At 42.0% G+C, this 26,914-nt stretch overlaps 2 non-coding genes across 2 annotated transcripts; one reads left to right on the top strand and one right to left on the bottom strand.

Moving 5' to 3' along the window:
* Window positions 1-267: 267 nt before the first annotated feature.
* Window positions 268-339, top strand: TRC-GCA17-1 (tRNA-Cys (anticodon GCA) 17-1). Its single transcript has one exon. It is a non-coding gene; the product is annotated as a tRNA-Cys (tRNA).
* Window positions 340-26,624: 26,285 nt separating this feature from the next.
* TRC-GCA21-1 (tRNA-Cys (anticodon GCA) 21-1) lies at window positions 26,625-26,696 on the bottom strand. The gene has a single exon. It is a non-coding gene; the product is annotated as a tRNA-Cys (tRNA).
* Window positions 26,697-26,914: the final 218 nt, after the last annotated feature.

Genomic DNA, 26,914 nt, shown 5'->3' with positions numbered 1-26,914 from the left:
CACAGGACAAAAAGCAGATGGGCGAGCGATAACTGATTTCACACAGAAGAAAGAAAAGGCGGCGACTGCAAGAGCCTGCGGAGGAATCATCCTACCGGGGGGAAACAGCCCCTAGGGGAAATGAGGGCAGAAGGCGTGGGTGTGAGGGATGCAGCCAGCAGATCCTCGCGGGCTCAGTGGGAATGAACAAGGATCTCTGTACACTGTAGGACACCCGAGCATTGCAACACCATGAAATAATGCCAGCTGGAAAACTTTGTGGCCCATGGGGATATAGCTCAGGGGTAGAGCATTTGACTGCAGATCAAGAGGTCCCCGGTTCAAATCCGGGTGCCCCCCCGCTGGTTTTCTTTCTGCTTCAGAATACTCTATGAACTCGACTATTCTGAGGCCACTCAAGTCACCATCAGACCGCGTATTAGGTGAGTTTTTCAGGTGGCTAATTTCACCCAAGTGGCTTGTGGACTGGTAGGGGAAGAGGAAGGAAAAGGAGCGAAGGAGGCTCCAAGGTAATCTGGCTCAGGAAGTGGCTGTGGGAGGCTTTCATCATGACCCAGGGTGGCCATTTGTGCTTTGGGAGCTCTCGTTTACTGTTTATCTTTCCAAGGGAGAAGCATAGGCAGGAAGTCGGGGGAGCAGGCTGAATGACTGCACCAGACTGCACTGACGGCACCAGAACCACCTGGGCGCTGCTCCTGCACAGTGTACCTGGACCTCAGCGCGAGGCTCCGATGTGTAGGTCTGAGGAGAGCACTGGATATTTTGTTTTAAAAACAACGCGTACCTCCAGTCTTCCTCCTGCCTCCTCCCACCCAGCACACACTAGATGATTCTGACAGGGACATTTCGGGGAAAACTATGCTGGATGGTTCTAAAGGACATTTCACGCAAACTGGCCTGATTATCAAAGCTGATGTCCTCTGCAGGGGACTGAGAGCCACAGGCGCAGACAGCTGCCTGGTGGGCAGAGGACGGAGAGGGTGGGAAGGAGACTGGTAGGAAAGGTGTGTCTGTCTGCCATGGAGACCTCCTAGGTTTCATGGAAGACCACAAAAACGTTGGTGACTTACTGTGTGAGAGCTCTGAATATCACTACTGGGTGAAAAGGTGGTCGTCAGAGAACAACAATGGCTCATAGGTCAATCATTTGAATACAGATCACATGGTCTTTGATTCATAATCCAGGTAGCCCCAACGTGCTGTCATTTTTTTAATTAAGATTTTATTTTTCAGAGCAGTTTTAGGTTTACAGAAAAAGGTACAGAAAGTACAGAAAGCATAAAGTACAGACAGTTCCCTCCACCCATTTCCCCTTCATTAACATCTTGGATTAGTGTGGTATTTGTTAAAATTAAGGAATGAATATTGATACATTATCATTACCTGACATCTATAGTTTACATCACGGTTCACTCTTTGCACTGCACAGTTTTATGGGTTTTGACAAATGCATAACGTCTTGTATCCACTATTACAGTATCATACAGAAGTGCTTCCCTGCCCTGAAACCCCCCACCCCATGCCCTGCCTGTTCATCTCTCCCTCCCTACAAACCCCCGGCAACCACTGACCTTTTCACTATCTCTGTCTTCTGCCTTTTCCAGAGTATTTAGAGTTGGAATTATACACTATGTGGCCTTTTGGGATTGGCTTCTTTCACTTAACAATAAGCATTTAAGGTCTTTCTATGTCTTTTTTGTGGCTTGGTAGTTCATTTCTTCTTATTGCTAAATACTATTCCACTCTGTGGACTTCCTGTCATTCTTACTCAGGCTTGGAGTTAGCATTCTAGCTAGACTGCATCTTCCTGCAAAGAGAGAGACAAGAAGCAGATGAGGCCTTTGCCAGAAAACCACCCCAGGCTCTGGCAGCCTCAAGCAATTTCCACGATTTTTTATTCTGGCATAGGCTCAGTCCCACTTACGTTGCTTGTGGAAGGTATTTGTAGTTGTCTTTTTTACACCCCCAACATTTGAAACTCTTTTCTATGTTTGGGGCAAATCCAAATCTATATGTGACTCTGAGTAGAAACCAGGACCTAACTACACTACAAAAGCCAAAAGCACCAGATGTTTTTCTTCCCATAGGCCCTAGAAGTGCCCTAAGCCTGCCCAGTCACATGTACATGTGAGACTTGGAATGTGGAATGAGGTACATGGAAGCAGGAAGAGTTTGGAACGCACTCCAGGGAATGCGGAGCTCTGTCATTGGCAGCGGGGCTGGTGGCTGCAGCCAGCTTTCAGTGGGGGTACTATCAGCTCCCTAACCAGGACGTTGTGTGGGGGTAAATTATTCTGACCCCTTGGCTGCCTTTTAGTCCTAGGCATTTTCTGAGTGTAGATCTCTAGGCTTCTTTTAGTGCTATGAGATTTTTTCCCGACATCCTGCCAATAATTGCCTTATTTGATTCAAGTAGCCATTGCCAGTTTCTATTTTTGAGACAGAATGCTGAGAGTATGAAAACTAGTACTAGGAGTGGGGTGAAGAAAGTAAGAGGAATATGACACTGGATACCTGCTTTTATTGGGACCAAAAGCAGTGAGCATCTGGCTAGTTATTCAGGAATTAGAACCTGACAGTCATTGATACACAGTAACAAAATAGGTGATCTGAATATCACGAGTCACTTGGAATGAAGTGCCCACGGGGGCACTTTGGTTTTGGTGTACTAAGTTACTGTAGAACTGCATGAAGCACTGTGGAGTAGGGCGGCTAAATCTCTTGGTATTTGCAATGGTCTGCATGTGTCTCCCAAAATTCATGTACTGGAAACTTAATCCCCAATGCAACAGTGTGGGAGGTGGGGCCTAATGGGAGGTGTTTAGGTCATGAGGCCTCTGCCCTCATGAATGGATGAATGTTGCTATTTTAAAAAAGCTTGCATTGGCTAGGTACAGTGGCTCATGCTTGTAATGCCAGCATTTGAAGCCACTTACTATGTGGGTTCTAGATTGACTGATGCGAACCATCCATGAGTTAACCTAACAATGCCATAGGCTGGACACCCTAACTCATATCCAGTAGTTCAACAATGTATAGCCAATCACTAATCAATGTTATTTCTGTAAACCAATGAGAATTCCTGTCAAACAATTTTTTTTTTATCAGCCCACTCCTTATTTCCTTCACCTTTAAAAACCTGCTTGTTCGGTGGCTCACGCCTGAAATCCCAGCACTTTGGGAGGCCGAGGCGGGCAGATCACCTGAGAGCGGGGGTTCGAGACCAGCCTGACCAACATGGAGAAAACCCATCTCAACTAAAATACAAAATTATCCGGGCATGTTGGCATATGCCTGTCATCCCAGCTACTCGGGAGACTGAGGCAGGAGAATCACTTGAACCCGGGAGGCGGAGGTTGTGGTGAGCTGAGATTGCACCATTGCACTCCAGCCTGGGCAACAAGAACGAAACTCCGTCTCAAAAAAAAGAAACAAAACACCTGCTTATTACAAAGGCCTAATGGAGCATATCCCAAGGCAACTTGGAAGCACTTCCCGGACAGCTGTGCTCGCTTTGGCTCAAGTAAACTTAATATTATATTTTGTGACTCAGCTTATTTCTCTAGGTCAACAAGTCCTTAGAAATGAAAAAAGAAAAAGGGGCAACCTGCATGGTTACCTGGAGTCCCCCTCATCCTGGTCCTGCCACTAGAATCCTACTTGTAGATAATCCCAGGTATGGTGAATAGAGGTTGGACAAGAGCCAACAAGGTGGAGCATCTTTGCCTCTGACCAAATTGCCTAAACTGAGTTCATTCCCAGACTTAATTTTCCTGGAATAAAGAGGATCTTGGGTAAACTTGAGGGAGTCCTTGTGTCTTCAGACTGCTGTAACAAAAATCCCATAGAATGAGTGGCTTAAACGATAGGACTTTATTTATTCCTCACAGTTGTGATGGGTGGGAAGTTCAAGATCAAGGTGTTGGAGGCATTCAAATCAGAGTGACTCCATCTTGAATAAGGGCTGGGTAAAATGAGGCTGAGACCTGCTGAGCTGCAATCCCAGGAGGCTGGGCATTCTTAGTCACAAGATGAGATAGGAGGTCGACAGAAGATATAGGTCATAAAGACCCTGCTGATAGAACAGGATGTAGTCAAGAAGCTGGCCAAAACCCACCAAAACCAAAATGGCGATGAAAGTGACCTTTGGTGGTCCTCACTGCTTACTGTATGTTAATCATGCATTAGCATGCTAAAAGACACTCCCACCAGCACCATGACAGTTTACAAATGCCATGGCAATGTTGGAAGATACCCTATATGGTCCCCCTTGGTAAGGCCCCTCTTGGTTGAGAATGAATTTAGTCTGGGCATGGTGGCTCATACCTGTAATACCAGCACTTTGGGAGGGTGAGGTAGGCGGATTTCTTGAGACCAGGAGCTTGAGACCAGCCCGGGAAATATAGTGAAACCCCATCTCTACCAAAAAAAATGTTAGCCAGGTGTGGTGGTGCATGCCTGTGGTCTCAGCTACTTGGGAGGCTGAGGTGGGAGAATTATCTGAGCTTGAGAAGTTGAGGCTGCAGTAAGATGTAGTTGCACCACTTGCACGCCATCCTGGGTGACAGAGTGAGACCCTGTCTCAAAAATAAAGAATGGATTTGGCTCTACAGGATGTTAATTGCTATTCTCTTTGGATTAATTCACCTTGCACTCTCTGCTGACAGCTGTGGGTGACAGGACTGAGCACATGCAGGATCACGAGACATGGGGAGCTTTTTTCTCCTGAAAGGGGGAAACTTGAGAGCTGATGGAACTACTGGAAAATATTCCTTCATGACTGATAAGCAGCTTCCTGAACTTTTGATTCAGTATAGCTGCGATGAGTGGGTCTTTCTCTAGCCTTCCTGAGCTCCTCACCTCCCCTGCCTCACTGCAAGCAGCACTTTCTTCCTTTCCCTTTCCTCCCTCTCTCTGTTTCACCTTTCCCTTTTCTATCTTTTCTTTCACTCAGGGCGACTGTCTGCTGTTCCATCTTGCCCAGAGACCCACGTTGAAACTCCTAGTAAGAGATCATTCCACTCCACTTTGAGTGGATCAAAGACAACATGGACCAATGGGGGCAAGTTTGAGCCTTGCTAGGTTGATTTTGGGCACTGAGCAGGGTGGCTAGTGTCTGTTTTGTCACACATATTTTGCTCCAGCTGGAAAGGAAAATGTTAATTTGGTTTCCCTATGCAGCCAGTTGGGCGGTGTCTTGCAAAATTGAGAGGCTTTTTGCCTATGGTTCCTTTGTAATGTGGCTTAACCCCCATAGCTATGGTGCAACAAGCAAGGCCATCAGCGCCGCTTAGAGAAAGGGAACCCAGAAACCTAGCATGCTGGCAATAGGGCAAGAATTTCTTATGAATCAGACTTCTGGCCTCTCTCTTTCTATGTAAACCAGCTGAAAGAATGATAAAAGTCACTGTCTCCTCTGCAAGATTTTGACTAATGGGAAAAAGGGTTTGTGAAGCTATTCTTAGGCTGTAGCAAATCTGGTGTACTTTGTGCTATGAATTTTTCTGTGTTGTTCTATCATAAAAAGGGATACCAAAGGATAAAATGTGGGTGTAGGACCCAAGCCCACTGTTCAAGCCAACCTAGCAAACTGGTCAGTTACAAACTTTGCTGCAGGTCCCTGAAACAAAAACTGGATGAGATTTTCCTCTTGTTTTGTTTTATGTCCTTGGGAGCTTGACCCTGTGACTATGTGGAAGTACTTTCTTTTGACTTCCACCAACTGGAGGATGGGACTTTGGGGGTTCATGTCATAGCCCTAAAAATTATCTTGAACAGTAAAAAACCTTTGCAAGCTCAAGATTGGCTGCTCTAGGCTCCTTCTGGGAAGTACACTAGAAACAACCGAATGCTATAGCTCAGTAGCTAAGGCTTTGTCTTTTTACAATGGTATCCCAGGTTCAACTCCCAGCTTAGGGAATGAGTCATTTCTGGTTTGACATATGTGTGATTTTTTTTTTTTTTTTAGATTGAGTTTTGCTCTTGTTGCCCAGGCTGGAGTGCAATGGGGCGATCTTGACTCACTGCAACCTCCGCCTCCTGGGTTCAAGTGATTCTCCTGCCTCAGCCTCCCGAGAAGCTGGGATTACAGGCATGTGCCACCACGCCTCGCTAATTTTGTATTTTTAGTAGAGGTGGGGTTTCTCCATGTTGGTCAGGCTGGTCTCGAACTCCCGACCTCAGGTGATCTGCCTGCCTCGGCCTCCCAAAGTGTCAGGATTACAGGCGTGAGCTACCACACCCGGCCTACGTGTGTGATTTTTGCCATTTATTGATTATTTTCCCCTGTGTGAACAACTTCTAACTTCCTATCTTGAATTTTCTTTTCTCTGAGCTACCTTTGGAGATTCTAGATCTTGTAAAAACTGCTTACCACTTCTTACAAAATATCTTTTATACCATGGTTAAGTCATAACTTACGGTATAACTTAAGGTATAACTTATATACCTTAGGCTTATTGGTTTCACCTCAGAGGTTACCTTTAGTAAAATTGAAAAGCCAGAAATATTGGCTCTTTGTCCCAGATGGAGTCTGGGAATAACAGATTTGGTTAAAAGTCGGCTTAATTAAAAACAGATATCCAAGCTATACATATATTTAAGAGGCATTTATGTTCTCTTCTTGGATCTTGTTTTTCTGAAAAAAGGTTTTTTTTTTCTGAGTACACTGAATTATTTTTCTCCATTTTGTCATCTTGCCACTCTTGATGCTCATATGAAGGGAACTAAGATAATTTCTAACAGCCTGGGACTCTTGGGAAAAACAGAGGAGGTGCCACAGTCCCTGTTTTTGGAAAAACCTCTAGTTTCCTCCTGGAACCCCAGAAATTGAAAGTGGATAGATGCCTCTCAAAATCTAAAGCTCCGTTCTGTTTTGCATTGTGCTACCTAGCATTTTTTTACTTTTGGGGGTATCAGAAATTACTTAGCACTATGAGAGAGCTTTTAGTTTTAGTATGTAATAGCTAGGTAGAAAATATACTTTTAGAGATGGATAATGGCAGTTATGGGGGGATACTTGGCTCTTTGCATGTTTGGATCAGGGGAGCGTACTTTTGGCCACCTAGAAAGTATGAAAACATTCCCACCCCCACCCCCAGAGAGGTAAAAGTCCTACAGGAGATGGGCTGATTGGCTTTGGGTTGCCCACCAGCTTCAGGGGAATGGACTGGAAGTAAAATGCATAGTAAAAGCATTGCACTTTCTGGTCCTGTAGCACTTCCCTCTTTCGGGGGACCCAGAATTCAGCATGAAAATAGGAAAGAAAAGCTTTGAAACAATACCAGATCTGCTTCTGTCTGTCTGTCTATGTATTTATGTGTTGTGTGTGATGTTTTACTATTGAAAATATGAAAGAGCTCTGATTAATTGACTTAAAAATAATAAGCACTTAAATATCTTGTCAGAAAAAATAGAAAATTTAATGCCTTTTAATTCACGTGACTTTAGTAATCTTTAAGAAATAAAGAGTTTTAAAAATTATTGGTAAAATTAAAATGTCTTCAAAATTTAGATATTTGGTCTAGATTAGGCAGGTCATATACTGTGTTTACTAAGCTACATAAACTACTTCTTTGACTTTTGATAATTGTTCAAATTCCTGCTTTGGACCCATTAGATTCTAGCTAAGGCCTGGGGACATGTGGAGTTGGCTATGCCCACTATGGGATGGAAAGAGTCAGATTTTTCCTGCACTTCTGTCTGGTGTCCTGGGCTCCACACCTGGTACATAATGAAAATTGCTTACTTAACAGGTTTCTCACCAAAAATAAAAGTTGCTAAGAGTAAATATTGTAACATATATAATTAAGACTACTGGAGAAATAGTTTTACATGCAAGGTGTATAAGGAAAGTAAAATGTGTTTTTGGTAAAAGATTATAATAAGGCATAGGAATGTGGGTTGTTGTTGTCATTGTTGTTTTGCCTAGTTTAGAGGGTTAAAATGTTGTTTTAAGTTAGATAGGTAAAGCTTCATGTTAAAACCTTCAGTGTATGACAATGTAGTTTTTTACATAAGGGCTATAAGAATCTGTTTTCTTTTATAACAGGACACAATTGGAGACGCTGGTTATTTTACGAGGCTTTGACTGGAATGGCATGCTTTCAGATACAAACATACTGCTTTAAGGAATCAAAGTTGGCTTATAGAGCCAGTAAAAGCCCCTTGGGAAAACTGGTCTCATACTTTGCATATGAAATCCCTGTACAAGTTTCCTGACCTGTAGTAAGTAAAGAATGTCAATTTCTGACAGGCTCAGTAGCCCCCAAGTTATTTTGGTACCTCAAGAGAAGGAGAATTTACCCAACTCATGCAGGTACTTGCAGACACAAACCCATGGTTGTGCTCATGGCTTTGAAAAGTCTAATAAGAGATTTTCTTTTCTCTTTTTTTGATAGAACAAAGTTCCACCAAAGTCAATTTAAAAGGAGCATATATGGCAAATAATTAGTCTTGCTGTTCTTTATGCAAATAATCAGCCCAAGTATAATCAGACTAAAGCTTATTTTGTAAATGAATCAGTCTTGCCATGATTTTTTAAAAATAAAAATGGGGACTAGATAGAGAAAAACTATGTTTCAAAAACTATGGTACACCTCTTATTAGATTCTAGTCTCATCTATTGTTTTTGAGTTTTTTTCTGCAATTAAGACTGACCCTGCTTATCCCCTGTGAACCAATCAGTGATCTCTGGCTGCTGCTCAGAGGAAACAAGAAGGATGGGTAATGTAAAAATCTGGATAAGTATTCTTATTCTGGGCATGTATTAGAATTGGCTAGCAACCTTATATCAGCGTGGTTCCAACAATTTTCCAGTTCATGAAAAGTCTTCTTATTGACTTATATTACTGCTTTACTCTTCGTGTAAGAATGCAGGATAACCTTAGTCAATGTTTTCTTAAATTGAACACATATTAAGCTTCCAGATACCATCTTTTGTTGGGATTCAGAGTTATGAATGACCTTCACCATACTGATGTTTTCTGACTGAATTCCTCCCTACTCTGAATACAAGAGACCTAATAGAAAGAAGTATCACCACCCCGATTCAGCTTGAAGAAGCTATAGAATATGGAGCTTCATCCCTCTGCAACCCTTAAAATTAAAGGTTCCCTTATAAAAGGGAGAGGGGGAAATATGGCAGAGGAGTTCAAACCAGAGTGATTCTTGAATAGGGGCTGGGTAAAATGAGACTGAGAACTGCTGGGCTGCATTCCTGGGAATTCTTATCACAGGATGAGAGAGGAGGTCAACACAAGATACAGGTCACAAAGACCCTGCTGATAAAACAGAATGCAGTGAAGAAGCCAGCCAAAACCTGCCAAAACCAAGATAGTAATGAAAGTGACCTCTGGTGGTCCTCACTGCTCATTATGTGCTTATTATAATGCATGAGCATGTTAAAAGACACTCCCACTAGCACCATCACAGTTTACAAATGCTATGGCAATGTCTGGAAGTTACCCTATATTGTTTAAAAATGGGAGAAACCCTTAGTTCTGGGAATTGCCCACCCCTCTTTTGGAAAACTCATGAATAATTCACCCCTTGTTTAGCATATAATCAAGAAATAACCATAAAAATAACCAACCAGCAGCCCTTGGGGCTGCTCTGCCTATGGAGTAGCCATTCTTTTGTTTTGTTTCTTCCTTCTCTGAGAAACTCACTTTCACTTTACTCTGTGGACTTACCCTGAATTCTTTCTTGTGTGAGAGCCAAAAACCATTTCTTGGGGTCTGGATTGGGATCTTTTTCTAGTAACAAAGGTGCTGCCCAATTCAGTTCTTGATGTGGGCCCTCTCTTGGCTTACAGAGGGACACTTTGTTGCTGTATCCTTACCTGGCAGAGAGAGTGAGCTCTAGTCTTTTTCTCTTCTTATAAGGACTGTGACAAAATTAAAAATACATACTTGGTCCACTTTTCCCCTTCCTGGCATAAAGCTCCTAAAACCCTTGGAATCTCTGAAGTAATGTGTGTCTTTTTGTATGCTAATAAGATGACTGGTTGTTTGGGGCTCACGGATAGCCTCAGTCTGGGGGTTGATTGCCAGGGGACCAATTATGTCATTTGAGAGTGGGAACTGTCAGCCCCACCCCCTGACCTCCAGAAAGGGGAGAGGGGTTGAAGGTTGAGTTGGTAACCAATGGCCAATGATTTAATCAATCATGCCTATGTAATGAAGCCTACATAAAAACCCCAAAGGACAGAGTTCAGAGAGCTTCTGGATTGCTGAACACCTGTAAGTGCCTGGAGGATGGCACATCTGGAGAGGGCATGGAAGCTCATGCCTATATCTAGCCCTTTGCATCTCTTCTATTTGGCTGTTCCTGAGTTGTATCCTTTATAATAAATGGGAAAACGTAAGTAAAGCATTTATCTGATCTCTGTTAGCCATCCTAGCAAATTATTGAATCCTGATTTATAGCTGGCAGTCGGAAGCACAGTTCACAATCTGGGACTTTACATTAGCATGTGAAGTGGGGTCAGTCTCATGAGACTGAGCCCTTACCCTGTGAAATCTGATACTATCTCCAGGTAGAATAGTGTGGCCCTTGTTAGGAAAGCCAGACAAAGCACTATGAGAAAAGAAATCTACATACAATATGCCTTATGAACATTAATGCAAATATCCTCAACAAAATACTAGCAAATTACATTCAGCAGCCTATTAAAAGGATTGCACACCGTGACAAAGTGACAAAGGGGGATTTATTTTTGGAATGCAAAGATGGTTCAACATATGAAAATCAATCATTATATCATATTAACAGAATGAAGGAAAAAAAACGCATGTGATCATCTTGATTAATGCAGAAAAAGCATTTGACAAAATTCAGCATGCTTTCATGATTTAAAAAACACTCAACAAACTAGGAATAGAAGGAAACTACTTCAGCACAATAAAAGCCATATGTGAAAAACCCACAGCAAACATCATATTCAATGTTAAAAGACTGAAAGCTTTTCCTCTAAGATCAGCAATAAGAAAAGAATGCTCACTTTCACCACTTCTATTCAACATAGTCCTGGAAGTCCTAGCCAGAGCAATTAGTCATGGAAAAGGAATAAAAGGCATCCAAGTTGGAAAAGAAGAAATAAAATTATCTCTGCTTAAAGATGGTATGATCTATATGTAGAAAATCCTAAAGATTCCACAAAAAACTGTTAGAACTAATAAATGAATTCAGCAAAATAGCAGGATACAAAGCCAGCATACAATAATCACTTGCGTTTCTATACACTAACAATGAGCAATCTGGAAAGGAAATTATGAAAACAATTCCATTTATAATAGTTTCAAAAAGAATAAAATAGGAATTAACCAAGGTGGCAAAAGACATGGCCTTGGAAGTTTTAGAATTTTAGAAAAAACAACTACAAAAACTTTGCTGAAAGTAGTTAAAGATGATGTAAGTAAATGGAAACACTCATCCCATGTTTATAGATTGGAAGACTTAATATTGTTAAGATGTTAATACTACCCCCAAAAATCTACAGATACAATGCAATTATCTGTAGATTAAAATCACCAAAAATCCCATCAAAATCCCAAAAGCTTTTGTTTTTCACAAATAGAAAAATGTGTCCTAAAGTTCCTATGAAATCTCAAGGGACCCCAAATAGCTATAATGATCTTGAAAAAGAACAAAGTTGGAGGATTCATACTTCATGACAAAACTTGCTGCAAATCTACAATAATCAAAAATTGTGGTAATGGCAAAAAGATAGACATGTAGACCAATGGAATAGAATAGATAGCCTAGAAGTTATTAACTTCATTATTACATCATATACAAAAATTAGCTCAAAATGGATTAAAGACCTAAATGTAAAACTAAAAGAATACAACTCTTAGAAGCACATATGGGACAAAAACTTTACAACATTAGATTTGGCAGTGATTTCTTGGATATGATAACAAAGGCACAGACAACAAAAGAAATAGACAAATTTGAACTGCATGAAAAATTTGAAATTGTGTGCATCAAAAGACACTATCCAGGCTGGGCGCGGTGGCTCATGCCTGTAATCCCAGCACTTTGGGAGGCTGAGACAGGCAAATCATGAGGTCAGGAGTTCGAGACCAGCCTGGTCAATGTGGCGAAACCCCATCTCTACTAAAAATACAAAAATTAGCCGGGCTTGGTGGCAAGTGCCTGTAATCCCAGATACTTGGGAGGCTGAGGCAGGAGAATCACTTGAATCTGGGAAGCAGAGGTTGCAGTGAGCCAGGATTGTGCCATTGCACTCCAGCCTGGGCAACAAGAACAAGACTCCATCTCAAAACAAAACACCTATCCATAGAGTAAAAAGTCAACTCACAGAATGGGATAAAATAAAATATTTGCAAATTATAAGTCTGGTAAGGGATTAATATCTAGAGTATGTAGATAGCTCCTAAAGCTCAACAACAAAACAACCCAATTAAAAAATAGACACAGGACTTGAATAGATATTTCTACAAAACAGATATACAGATGGCCAATAATCACATGAAGACACTCAACATCAGTAATCATTAGAGAAATGCATGAAATATCACCATGAAATACCACCTCACACCCGTTAAGATGGCTACTATTACAAAAACAGAAAATAACAAGTGTTGGAGAGGATATGGAGAAATTGGAGCCTTTGTGTACCGTCTTTGGGAATGTAAAATGGTAAAGCCACTGTGGAAAACAGTATGATGGTTCCTATAATAATTAAAAATTGAATTACTATATGATCAAGCAATTCATTTCTGAGTAATACCCAAAAGAATTGAAAGCAGGGTCTTGAAGAGATGTTTGTACACTCATGTTTATAGCATCATTATTTACAATAGCTAATATGTGGAAGCAACCCAACTGTCCATTGATGGATGAATCAATAAGCAAAATGTAGTAAATACATACAATGGAATACTACTCAGCCTTTAAAAAGATGGAAATTCTGACATATGCTACAACATGGATGAACCTCAAGGACATTATGCTAAGTAAAATACAACAGTCACAAAAATACAAATACTTTATTATTCCACATACGTGAGCTGCTTAGAGTAGTCAAAGTCATAGAAACAAAGTAGAATGGTGGTTGCTAGGGGTTCAGAGGAGGAGGAAATGAGAAGTTATTATTTAATGGATGTAGGGTTTCAGTTTTACAAGATGAAAAGAGTTTTGAAGATGGATAGTTGTAGTTGCACAGCATTATGAACATATTTAATATCACTGAACTTACAGTTAAAATGGTAAATGTAATTTACCACAATAAAAAAATTGAAAAAGAAAATCAATGCCACATTCCTGAAGAAGTCTCAGAAATGGGAGCTACCATTAAAGAGTTGAAAGTTGCAAGGATGGATATTTCAAACACCTGTCAATTTGTGTCTACCACTTAGTGGTGAAAATAGATGGGCCTTAGAGAATGGGGATGGTTTATAATGAATAGTTGTGTGGTAATCCCAATTCTGTCTGCCAAATTAAATATTGATTTAATGTATATTGTCTGAATACTAGTCAGCAGAAGGCATTAGAAGCAATTTGTTTTTGCTTTTTAGGTGCATCTTCACTGTCTTGCCCTGAGTTACATTGACTCTAGCTTAGTGCCACAATTTGGTCCACAGGGAACTTAGCCATTATCCCATAGGACACCACAGTGTGCCCACATGTTGATAGTATTCTTCTAGGACCCAGAGAATACCAAATATAAAGTAGTCTAGATGCCCTGATAAGTCACAAGAGTGCAAGGGAATGGGAGAAAAATTGCATAAAATAACAAGTACCTGACACCTCAGTGAGGTTTCTGGGTATCTAGTGGTTTGGGGATTGTCAGGTTACTCTTCTCATGTGAATGATGAATTGGTAAACATTGCCCTAACCCTTCCCACAGCCATCATTAACACTAAGAGAGAGGCATAGTATTTGATAAGCCGCTTTGCTTTGGTGGAGTGGGGGGAAATTGCCTACACTACATTTGTTTGTACTTTCTCAGCCCATTTATAGGTTTTGGAGAGGATATGGAGAAATTGGAGCCTTTGCGTGCCAGAATTAAGTGGGGCCAAGAACAGGGGAAGACTCTAGCTGGGTCACTTCTGCCATTTGACTCTAATACCCAATAGATCTCAGTGTTCAGTGTCTATGGCCACTCAGGATACTGAAAGGGGCCTGTGACAAGCCAGGACAGGACAATCACCAGGGAGGATTGCAAATTCTTGGTGCAAATCAATGCCTTATTCAGCAAGTGGCAATTCTCCTTCAGAGAAAGAGTTTTTATCTTGAAATTAGACCAGGTAGATCTTGGATTGGAACCAGTGTTACGGGAGGGTCCTTATTCTTAGAGCTCCCAAGATGGTGGCGGGCGGCTCCCAAGATGGGGCAAGCGGCTCCCAAGATGGCGGCAAACCTTTTGTTCTCTGACCTAAGGTTCTTGGCCTCACAGATTCCAAGGAATAGAAGCTTGGGCCATGTGGTGAGTGTTATAGCTCTATTAGAAGCTGTGGGTCACAGAAGAGAACCATGGAAGCCACCGACTAGTGTTCAGCTCAACTAGGTCAAAGCCGGGCACTTACCTGTGCAGGAACAATGGTGAGCCTTTAGCCCAATCAGGAGCGGCAATGGGCACCTCGCTGGATCAGGAGTGCAATGGACACCCTGCTGGATCCAGAAGGGTGGAAGTCAACGGCGGGTCTGGGACGGCGGCAAACAGCAGTGGTGGATGGCGAGCGAAAGCTCAGCTTGAGCCATAACAAACACGGACCTGAAGAGTGTGCAGTTGCAAGATTTAATAGAGTGAAAACAGATCTCCCATATAAGGGAGGTGACCCAAAGGGGGTTGCCGCTCCCTGCTAGACTGCCTTGGTTTATATCCCAATCATTGTCCCTCCCCCTGTGCTCTCAGGTGATATATGATATGACTCTTTACCTCCTGCTTTTAGCCTAATTTGTATTTTAGTGAGCCCTCTTTACTACCTGATTGGTCGGGTGTGAGCTGAGTTACAAGCTCCGTGTTTAAAGGTAGATGCAGTCACACTCCCCAGCTAGGCTTAGGAATTCTTAGTTGGCCCCGGAAATCCAGCTAGTCCTGTCTCTCAGTACCCCCTCTCAACAGGAAAACCCAAGTGCTGTTGGGGACGTTGGCCAACGACAGCTCTTAACTGCTTCCTGCTGAATTGGGGCATAGTAGGGGTCGTGCAGTTGAGATTTCCTCGTGAGGGGTGCCTTCAATGTCATCAACATCAAAGCATGGGCTAGTGGGCCGGTCCAGGGGTCCGCAGTAGATCTTAGTCATGGACTGCATCTGGGGCTCCATTTGAAGAACGATTTGTAGTTTTACAGCTTCAATTCTGGAATAGACAAACCTAACAAGGAAGTTAAAGATACAGGGATTGAAATGTATGGCCTGAAGTGCAGGGGATTATTTCTTTGGCACACTTCACAGGCCCTGACTATCTGCTTGACAGTTTTGAAAAGTCCTGGTCCAGTAAATCATGATTTGGCCATCCAATGGGTGCTATCAATGCCTAAGTGAAAGGTCTGGTGAAGGGTTTTAAGTAATTTCCATTGGTTAGCTGCAGGCAAAAGTATTTTTCCTTCTTCGGTGGGTAGCCATCGTGAGGGGAGGAAACTTTGTCCTCGTGAGGTTCCCCATTCTGTTTCTTCTGCTGAGTACTGGGGCTTGGTTTCCTGGAGGGGATTACCCCATAGTAGGGGTCCTTCTATAAGCATTTCTAATGGAAGGTCCCACCTTGCAGCTCTTTTAGTTTCAATATCCGCTTGGTGGTTCCCTTCTATTTCCCTTTCCTTTCCTTTCTGATGATCCCAGCAGTGTAAGACTGCCACCTCTTTAGGTTTCTGTACAGCCAATAATAATCTCTTAATGGCTTCCTGATGTTTGATAGGTGTTCCCTTGGAAGTTAGGAATTCCCTTTCTCTCCATATTGCTGCGTGGGCATGGAGGACTAGGTAAACATACTTAGAGTCTGTATATATATTTACCCTTTTTCCTTCTCCTATGTTCAGGTGTATAGTGGCCCCTGTTTTTGCTAGAATGTCTCTCCCTAACAAAGGAGTGGGGCTTTCAGGCATAATCAGAAAGGCATGTGAAAAGAGTAAAGTTCCCCAGTCACAACTTAGGGGCTGGGAGAAGTATCTAGTGACTGCTTGTCCTAGGACCCCTCAGATAGTGACAGATCTGGAAGACAGTTGTCCGGGACAGGAGAGTAAGACTAAGAAGGTCACACCAGTGTCCAGGAGACAGTTAACCTCCTGGCCCTCAATGGTCAAGCATACCCGGGGCTCTGTGAGGGTGATGGCATGGGCTGGCGCCATTGCCCCGGGCACCCTCAGTCCTGCTGCTGGATCTTCTGGTTAGTGGCTTCTGACTCAGAGGACCTTTGTCCCCTGGGGCAGTGGACCTTCCAGTGATTCCCTTGACATAAGGGGCATGGACGAGGGGGCGGCTTATTTCTATTCTGACAATCTTTTTTAAAGTGTCCTTGCAAACTGCACTGGAAGCAAGCCCTATTAGGCATTTGATTTGCCCAGCCTTTCCCTGTTCCAGAGTCTCCAAAGTCCGCTTGCCTGAAGGCCATGACTAAAGCGGTGGCCTTCTTTTTATCCCGTTTGTCCTGTTCCACCTGCTCCTCCTGATCTCTATTATAAAAAACCGAGGTTGCCAAGTTCAATAGGGTTTCTAAGTTTTGCTCTGGGCCTAAGGCAGACTTTTGAAGTTTTTTTCTAATGTCTACAACTGACTGACTGATAAATTTATCCTTTAAGATTAGTTGGCCTTCAATAGAGTCAGGTGACAGAGAGGTATGCTTCCTCAATGACTCCCTTAGTCTCTCCAGAAAGGCAGTAGGATTTTCATTCTTTCCTTGTGTTATAGTGGACATCATTGAGTAATTCATAGTCTTCTTCCTAGTTTTCTTTAGTCCTTCTAGCATGCAAGTTAGCAAATGTCTGTGGCACCAATCTCCGTGTTCTGATTCTGCATCCCAGTGAGGGTCTACACTGGGAACTGCCTGCTGGCCTGTAGGGAATTGTTCTCTTTCCTGTGTTGTCATCTTATCCTCGACCTGACTGAGATACCAGAGATCGCCAAACTCTCGGGCTGCAGTTTTGGCGGCACTTTTCTCATTTGGGGTTAGTGACTGATCTAGCAGTAACATTATATCTCTCCATGTCAGATCAAAGGATTGTCTTAACCCTTGTAAAACATCAATATAGCCATCAGGGTTATCTGAGAATTTACCTAGGTCTATTTTAATTTTCCTCAAGTCTGAGAGGGAAAAAGGTACATGCACTCTGACTGGGCCAAGTTCTCCAGAATGCATCTTAGGGGCGTTTTTCCTTTGGGGGGAAAGTTTCCTATCTGAAAAAAGAACATAGGGATGCCAGCACCCCTAGTCATTTTCTGATGAGCATTAGTCCTACAGTGTCCTCTATGGTCCTATTGCTTATTCCTTTCCAAGGTACGTAGCCACTCATGGGCCTCTGCTTATCAGATTAGTTACGCTCACGGATGTAGCAGTCTGCACCCCTTTTCCTGCCTTTCTTGACTACAAAGAAAGGGGTCCGGGCTGCTGGATTCTAGTGATCCTTTACCAGCGTGTCCAGCATTGCCTGTGTGCTCGGGGTGAGTCCTAGAGCTGGGATGGGTTCCTGAGTATTTTGTAACAACCCAGCTGCCCCATCAAGATGCATTCCCATAAACAACAATTCTTTTCAGAGAGGGTGTAGGTAAACTTTTGAGGCAGGATTGAGAGAGGTTTTTTTTGATTCTGTAAGTACTTTAAGGCTAGGCTGAGTGCAAACAGCTTGCACAGACCAATTATTGGGCAATTCTCCTAACTCTGCTTCCACAAGCATCTCCCTATCAATTACTGAATACCCATTGTGATTTTTTTTCTCAGTCACCTGGGAGAAACCATCTATGTCCTGTCCTGAAGGGAGTTCCTCCTAGTTCCGGTTGGACCTTTGTATGGTAATTAAGATTTAAATCCCCTGTTAGGAAATCTGCTGGGTTAAGGGAATTTTCAGTGGTTAGTGTTAAATCACCTTTTTCTAACAGAGTAGCCCCATACTTTAAGATTTTTGAGTTAGTAAGATAACTTTTTGCTTTTTTTGACTTAGGATAGCTCTAAACTGGTGAGGTGTGCTCACAATGAGGTTTCCTCTAAAGGTTATTTTTCTACTTTTAACAAAGCAGTTGCCGCTACGGACTGAATGCATTTAGCCCATCCATGGGTTACTGGGTTAAGGATATTTGATAGGAAGGCTATGGGTTGTCAGTGGCCTCAGTGCTTTCGAGCTATGCCCTTGTTTACACTGACAACAAGGTGGTATTGGAGTGTTACAGGGTCACCGAGAAGACCTTCAATTATTAACTATAGGTTTTAAATTTACCCTGGCTTTTAACGGAATAGGGTACACTGTTTTTTTTCTTTACTACTTCTATTTTTCTCTTTCTTTCTCTCCTTGACTTTCTGTCTCTCTCTTTGACTTTCTCTGACTCCCTCTCTGTTTTTTTGTCTCTCTCCTCTCTGTCTCTCTCTTCTCTTTCCTCTCTCTTTCTCTCCTCTCTGTCTCTCCTCTCTGTCTTTGTAGATGGATTTTGGAAACACAGTGGAAGGACATTGGCTCGTTGCCCCCATTTGCCACTATAGGAATATGCGCCTCCCTTTAATTTACTCAATTCATTTTCATCCTGATCTATTATGTTGTTGTAGATCCAGTTCCAGTTGTTAAAGTACTGGGTTGTCAGTTCTAAGGCCCTGGAAAGGGTGGTGGGGAATGGGTCCCACATAACTGCCCATGTCAAGAGCTGTATGCCTAAATTGGGACAAGACTCCCTGGGTTCATAGCCTAGGTGCCTAAGGACACAGTGTAGAGCTTCCTTAGATCCCTTTGGAGATACAACCTGCTCTAATACTCGGGAGAGGAAGTGAAGTCTGAAGCATTAGTATCTAGGAGGCAGGGATCGGAAGAAGTAGAATCAGAGATAAGGAGAATTTTGGGGCTACACTTTCAAGAAAGTCGTGGTCAGGACCCAGGAGGTATGGGTCAGAAGGAGAGGTAGGGGCCCATGCATGGGCAACTGTTGAGTAGAGACTTCTGGCTGCACCATGATCTCGATCGGCCAATGCGGGAGTTCGGGACGACAGCTTTCTGCCTCTAGTCAACCCTCGGCTTCCCCAGGAAAATTGTGAAAACAGAAGCTGGTTCCAGGCAGACCAGTGCTCCCAATCCAGAAGGGTTGGGGGTTGTTAGAAAGCCTTTTCCCAGGAAGCCTCACACCTGAGTCTTTAGTCTGGTGGCCATGCTAATCATTTTTAACCAGCTGACAGGTGCCCGGCATTTTCCTCCAATTCTAAGGAAGGATAGGATAGAATAGCAAGCAAAAGTGGTCTGATATTACTCACCGCTTTGGTGAATCCCCATACAGGCCACCAAATGTTACCGGTGGGTCTTTGTTCTTAGAGCTCCCAAGATGGGGCAGGCTGCTCCCAAGATGGCAGCAAGCCTTTTGTTCTCTGACCTGGGGTTCTTGGCCTCACAGATTCCAAGGAATGGAACCCTGGGCCATGTGGTGAGTGTTATAGCTCTATTAGAAGCCATGGGTCACGGAAGAGAACGTGGAACCCAGTGAGTAGTGTTCAGCTCGATTAGGATGAACCCGGGCACTTAGGCGTGAAGGAACAATGGCGAGCCTTTAGCCCAGTCAGGAGTGGCAATGGGTGCCTCACTGGATCAGGAACACAATGGATACCCTGCCAGATCCAGAGGGGTGGAAGTCAGTGGCAGGTCTGCGATGGCGGCAAACAGCAGTGGTGGACGGCAAGTGAAAGCTCAGCTCAAGCCATAGCAAACACGGACCAGAAGAGTGTGCAGTTGCAAGATTTAATAGGGTGAAAACAGCTCCCATACGAAAAGGGGTTTTGCCCTGGAGTGTTTTATTCTTGGGGCAATAATTTATTATTTGGATTATCAAGGAAATATATTTTCAATGTAAATACTAATAATATAACTTATTTGAATCTGTCTAATGTGCCTCACAGGATTTAACAATATGTAAAATTACATATTACAAAGATTAAAAACTTAGGAAACACAAATAAGCATCAAGAAAAAAGTAAAATTACCTATAATGCCACAAGCTAAACAAATGTTGATATTTTGATGCCTATTCATCCAAACTTATAGTTAAGAACCAAATCTCTTCCTGGGGGAAAAGTTCAGCTAATCACTAGCCGCTTGGTGGTGTCCTATCAGGCTTTCCATCTCTTTGCCCTCCTGTATTCACTTAGAAATAATCCTACTCCTTTCCTAAAAATAAGAAAGGAAATAGGAGCTAAGGAATTCAGTTTTATCATCAGACATTTTCACTTGTTGCTCTCCTGTTTCTACCCAAAATAATTCTTAAAACCACATTTGTATAATTTTCTTTCAGATAGGATGAAGGAGTTTGTGTCATGCCAAAGAAAGCTAGAAAAGCCAGTTTAAAAAGGCAATTCACATTTTAAAAGCATCAGAGAGTTGCAGAAGCAGCAAGGACTAGAAGAACTAAAATTCCAGAGAGGAGAGAACCTTTTGGAAGTGAGTTGACGGACTGCAGTCACATTTTACCTGAGAGCATTTTCCAGTCTTGGGTGCAGGCTGATAATCTGCCTTAGGTCCAAGCATAGGGCTGCTGCTGAGGTACTGGGAACCCAATGAAACTTTTGTTGGTCACTCAGGGTTGCTGTGACAAGACTGTAGACTTGGGGGACATTAAACATATAGCTGTTTTTTACCTCTAGACATTTTCAGAATTCTAAAACTATGTGGGGCAAGAGGTTATAAAATTAAGGAAAATCTCTGGGAAAAAGAACAGAATTTATAACAATTTCATGGTACTAAGAAGATGAAAATTCCTGGGGTAGAGAAAGGGGAAAGAACACGCCAGGAGAAAGTGAAAGCCCTGAAGAAAGTAGTGAATTGACACTGAGGATCTGCAGCCACTGTTTCTCTGGGACACTTGCCAATTCTAAGCCCAGCTAGAGGCTGAGCTCCCAATGTTGGCACCAGCATACATGTGTCAGGAAATAGGAACACCAAGGGAGCTTTTGAACAGATGTACAATGCTGGAGCATGAAAATGGAGACTTTAGAGTCCTTAAATACATAGCTGGTTTCACTCCTCAAGAAAATTGCTGAGTTGTGAAGCTCCATGAAGGAAGAATCCAGAAATATAAGCCCAAACTCTAAAAACAAGAGTGGATTTTTCGGTTGAGAAGAGAAAGACCTGCCAGGTTTTTTATTGCAAACCTGGTAGGGCAACGCTCAAAAAGTGGGACAAGTCACAGATAGAAGGAGCATTACCAAAATTACATTTTCATTTTTCTTAGCAGAAAAGACCACTCATTTCCTTATTGGTTTAAAATCATCAGCCCTCCACTCTATCTTCTTTCAAAAAAGAAGAAGCAGAAGAAGGAGGAGGAGGAGGGAGCAGGAAGAGCAGGAAGAGGAGGAGGAGGGTGAATTTTGTCTAGTAGAAAATAATTTTATTGAGAGCCTTTATTCTTTTAATACACAATGTCTGGCATTCAATAAAGATTACTAGGTATATCAACAGTCAGAGAAATATGAACAAAACCAAAAGAAAAACAGACAGTCGAAGCAAGTGATCTAGATATCATAGAATTTAAAATAACTTTGATAATATATTTAGGAAAACAGGAACATAGAAAAAATGTGAGAAAAGTGTGAATTTCACGTTCTAATTTGTAAGAAAAAATTCAAAGGAAATTCTAAAACAAAAATTATAATATTTAACATTAAAATTGTAATACGTGCATTTAACAGAAACTTAGTCACAGTGGACCACTGGATTAGTGAACAGAAAAACAAATCAATAGAAAAATATCTAAACTGAAGCACAGAAAGGTAAAGAATGGATGAAAAGAAAAGGAAAATAGGATATAAATGGGAAACAGTTAAAAGTTCTTACATGTCATTGAAATTCCAAAAGGAGGTAAGAAAGTGAATGAAGCAAAACCAAGATGTGAAAGGATAATTGACAAGCATTTTCCAAAACTAATGGAAAACATCAACCCACTTATTTAAGAAATTCAGTTAGTCAAAAGGAAATAAAAACAAAGGAGAATATTAACGCCATCTGTAGGTGATGGAGGAAAAGACAGAGGACAAAACATACAAACAAAACCAAAAGAAACCATGTTTTTAAAGAGTGAGGAAGAGGCCAGGCACGGTGGCTCACGTCTGTAATCCTAGCATTTTGGTAGGGCTGAGGTGGGCGGATCACTTGACGTCAGGAGTTCAAGACCAGACTGGCCAACATGGTGAAACCCCATCTCTACTTAAAATACAAAAATTAGCCAGGCCTGGTGGCATGTGCCTATAATCCCAGCTACTTGAGAGGCTGAGGCAGGAGAATCACTTGAACACAGGAGGTGGAGGTTGCAGTGAGCCAAGATTGTGCCACTGCACTCCAGCCTGGGTGACAGAACGAGACTCCGTCTCAAAGAAAAAATAAAAAAAAAAAAGAGAGAGAGAGGAAGAGAAATCTGAAAAAGCAATCAGTAGGGAAAAAAATCAAATTTTACAATTAACAGATGATTTGCCAAAAGAAATTATGGGAGCCAGGTGACATGAAACAATATTTTTACAGTGCTGAAAGTAAATAACCCAATTACTTTAAATAATATAAAAGTATTTAAAACTCCAATTAAAATATAAAATTTTCAGACTGAATGAGAAAACAAAACCACACTATAAGTTGCTTAGTTGAAACTTAAGCGTAGGGTCACATATAGCAGGTGAAAGTATAAATAAAAACACACCGTACAAACAATAACCAAAGAGGCTAGTATAGCAATATTAATATGATGCAAAATAGACTTTAACTTGATAAGAGTTTCTACAGATAGAGGGGATATTTAAAAATGATAAGGAGGTCAATCTAGCAGGAAGCTATTATAATCCCAAATCTGAATGCACCTAAAAATATAGTGTGAAAATAAACAAAAATGGATAGAACTAAAAATAGAAATAGACATATCCTTAATCATAGTGGCAGATTTTAACACACCTTTTTCTGTAGCTAATAGAAAAGGCAAATAAAATGTTGCTAAGCATATGAAGAATCTGAATAACACAACCAGAAAATATGACCTATTTGATATATAATGAACAGTGCACCATTCAATAGCACATTTTATATATTTTAATGCGCACAGTACATTTATCAAAGTTAACAATATTTGGTGATATAAAGTAAGTTGCCACAAATTTGAGGATTGAAATCATAGAGAATGTTTTCGGACCATATTATAGCTGAATTAGGCTAAGTTATGAGAAACAGAAATAACTAGAAATCCCCAGCCTCTTGGAAGCCAAACAATACACTTCCAAATAACCTATAAGCAAAAGAAGAGATCAAAATAGAAATTAGAAAGTATCTTGAACCAAATGTTAACAAAGATATAACAAATCAAAATTCATGTGGTACAGGTAAAGTCATGAATTCACGCTCTTTTTTGTTTGTTTGTTTGCTTTTTGAGATGGAGTCTCGCTCCCATCGTGCAGTGGTGTGATCTTGGCTCACTGCAACCTCCACCTCCCGGGTTTAAGTGATTTTCCTTCCTCAGCCTCCTGAGTAGCTGGGATTACAGGCATGCGCCACCACGCCTGGCTAATTTTTGTATTTTTAGTAGAGACGGGGTTTCGCCATGTTGGCCAGGATGGTCTCGAACTCCTGACCTCAGATGATTCACCTGCCTCAGCCTCCCAAAGTGCTAGGATTACAGGCATGAGCCACCACACCTGGCCCAAACTCATACACTTAACTGATCAGATTATCTGATATTTAGCCTTATTTTTCTTATTTCATATAACTGATAACTGAGTATCAGATATCTGATATTCAGCCTTTTTTCTTTTCTTATATCTTCAACTAAGAGTATGAGTTTTAACAAGCATTATATCTATGCTTATATCTAAATATCAAGAAAAAAACCAGCAATTTAACCCTAAATTAAAAAGAAATACATAACAAACATCAGAGGAGAAATCAATGGAATAAAAAACAATCATACAATCAGAGAAAAGCAACAAAGCCAAAAGTTGATTTATTGGAAATAATAAAACCAATAAACTCTAGAAACACTTAGTGCCAAGGCTGTTTCTCTTATCACAAAGTTCAACTTATTTTTAGATAACAAGCAGAAAGGATAGGCCACCATAGACACTCAAAATGAGCAATATCAAATGTGCGTGTGTGCACATGAGTTAACTGTTAGAAAAAAACTTTCTGGATTATTGGAAATATAGAAATATATATATATATATATACACACACACACACACACACACACACACGTAGGTAGAATTTGGTAAGTAGAACCCATTCCCTGGTGTTCTTGTTAACTAATCAGGGAGAACCATTGAACTTCAGCATTTTATCCTCCCTGGCACCATTATCTCAGGAACAGAAAAATATCCCAACAAAGGCTAATGTGAGAGTAGAGTGTAGCAATTTCTTCCAAGTTTGAGAAGTTCTCCTGACATCTTCCAAAAATTCCCTGCAGCTATCACTGAAGTAGCAATTCATAACACAAGAGATGGGGAAATGTGAAATCAACAAGAATTGCAGATTGGCAATTCTGCCTTTTCATTTTTCAGCAATCTCAGTTATTCAGCATCAAGAGCTGAGTGTTTTGGTGTAGTTGTGGGGACATCTGCACATTCCATCTGTGTCTGGAGAAGGCGTAGACATCTGAGCTTTCCATTGTATGTCTTTGAGCTTCCTAATGCTGTCAGACTTGGCTGGGCCCTTTTTACTGCTATGTAACAACAGCTGGTCTCTAAAAGTTTTGTCCTCCAGTGGGAACTTTATTCCAAGAAGAAGTGACACTTGAAATATTTAACAACAGCTACAGCAGAGACACTGACCAATCAGAATGAATGCCAGCCATAAGCAACCATTGAATACCTACCAGGTGAGTAAGCAGCCTTGAATCCAGGTGACCAGTTACTCAGTTACTTTATCCCTGAGACCCTTGGGCTCCCAGATTGTCAACTTTGAACAATCAACTAGATTTCTACTTTCTGCAATCCCAATCATGACAGAAAGTCCATCCTACACTCCATTTTCTTTAGGATCCTTTTTCTGCACCCCTCTCCAATTGCAATTTTTATATCTGCCTAGGTACATCGTTACAGAAACTGGTTCTGTCCAGTGAAACAGATGAGATGGCCATTGTCCATGTGTCAGGAAGCCTGGGCTTTTGAAACGGGGGATCCAGGGGGACCCAGGCAGCCTGGCTTTCAGGAAGTCACACTGGTTAGGAAGGTGTCAGACTGTGCCTGAGCTCTGCCAGCCCAGGAATGAATGCTAAGCTGTCTCTGCCTGTACAAGTCACTCAGTCTGCATGCATTGTGTCAGTCGGTGGCACTGGGTGGCCAGAAGTGCCAGGAAGACAGAGAGAAAGAGGCTTTTTCCTTCAGCTTCGGGTGCTGCAAGCAGAGCCATGTCTTCCACTGTGCCTCACACAACTGGGGAACCTCAAAATGTGGACAGAGGGTTCACAGGATGGGGAAGAATAGGAAGAAAAAAAAGAAAACACAAGAGAAATGCTCACCAAAGCAAAGCAAGACAAGACTGAATCAGGCATGCAGAGCAGATCTGGGCAGGTCACGTGGGGCAGCAGGAAAGTAGAGAGGAGCATGGGACAAACCAACCTCCTTACCCTCTCGTCCACCTTGCAGGAAGAGTCAGGTGCAGGGGCCTCAGGAGGTGAAAGGAAATTGTTTTTTAATACTCTGGTCAGTATGGGAAGAAATTAGTGTAGGTAGGGAACACATGAATTTGAGTCAGGGACCTGTGGATCATCAATCAAATGCTTTACTCAAAAACAACTAGTGTTGCCTTGAGCATGCTTCAATTCTGAACTTCAATGCAGGGAGTCGAGTAATCACTCATGGCCTGCCACCACCCCTAGCTGACTGTGCCATTGCAATTGGTCACCCTCCTACCATGCCCACAGCTTCATTCAGACATCCCCCACCTTCCCACACTCTCCCACCTCTACACACCTGGCCACTGCCTATGCCTGCAGCTCAGCACCCCACATGCCCTCAGTGATGGACTGAAGGCAGGCACTAGCTTGAACATCACTGATGCTTCCCACTGGGATGTTGTTTAGAATGACAAGTTGTTGTAAGTTCCAAAACAATTTTCCAGCCACTTAGAATTATTGGATGTTAGAACAGGTATTAACAGGGGATTATGCCCCAAATGACCCCCAAAAGTAGAAGTTCTCTGATTCCTCCTCAGTCCTACTAAATTGGAACTTCTAGGGAGTAATCTGTATTTTTTATAAGATCTATCAGTAATTCTGATGCAAAGTCAGACTGGGTGACCTCTGATTCAGGCTGTCCTGCCATAATATAAACTTCAAAGAAGAGCAGCTCATTAGAACTTCTGAAACACATGCAGATTATTAGTGACTTGACCATGACTTGTGCCAGAAAAATGAAGTCATCTGAGAAAACTGACACAAGCTATAGGAAGGACAGTGGTGAGGATGACAAGCAAGCCTAACATCAGAAAAAGAGAACCCACAGCTAAGTGGCATCAGGGGGCACCCAGATTTGAACCGGGGACCTCTTGATCTGCAGTCAAATGCTCTACCTGTGAGCTATACCCCCTTGCCTGGTGGACATTCCTCCTTAGCATATTTCACCTGTGTCACCACACCCAAGGATTCTATAGTGCACTGTAAATTGTATTAATTCCTGGCCAGCTTATGGAAATTGGCAGCCCTACCACAAATGACTAGAGACTGCTCTTCAGGCCATGAGTTCACTCCTTCACTCCCCAAATAACCTCCTGTCACTTGTCTAATGGCATCTTTCTACCTTGTAGC

The sequence above is a fragment of the Homo sapiens genome, chromosome 7 (assembly GCF_000001405.40).
Source record: "Homo sapiens chromosome 7, GRCh38.p14 Primary Assembly".
Taxonomy (NCBI): domain Eukaryota; kingdom Metazoa; phylum Chordata; class Mammalia; order Primates; family Hominidae; genus Homo; species Homo sapiens.
This window is presented reverse-complemented; position numbering and strand designations above follow the sequence as displayed.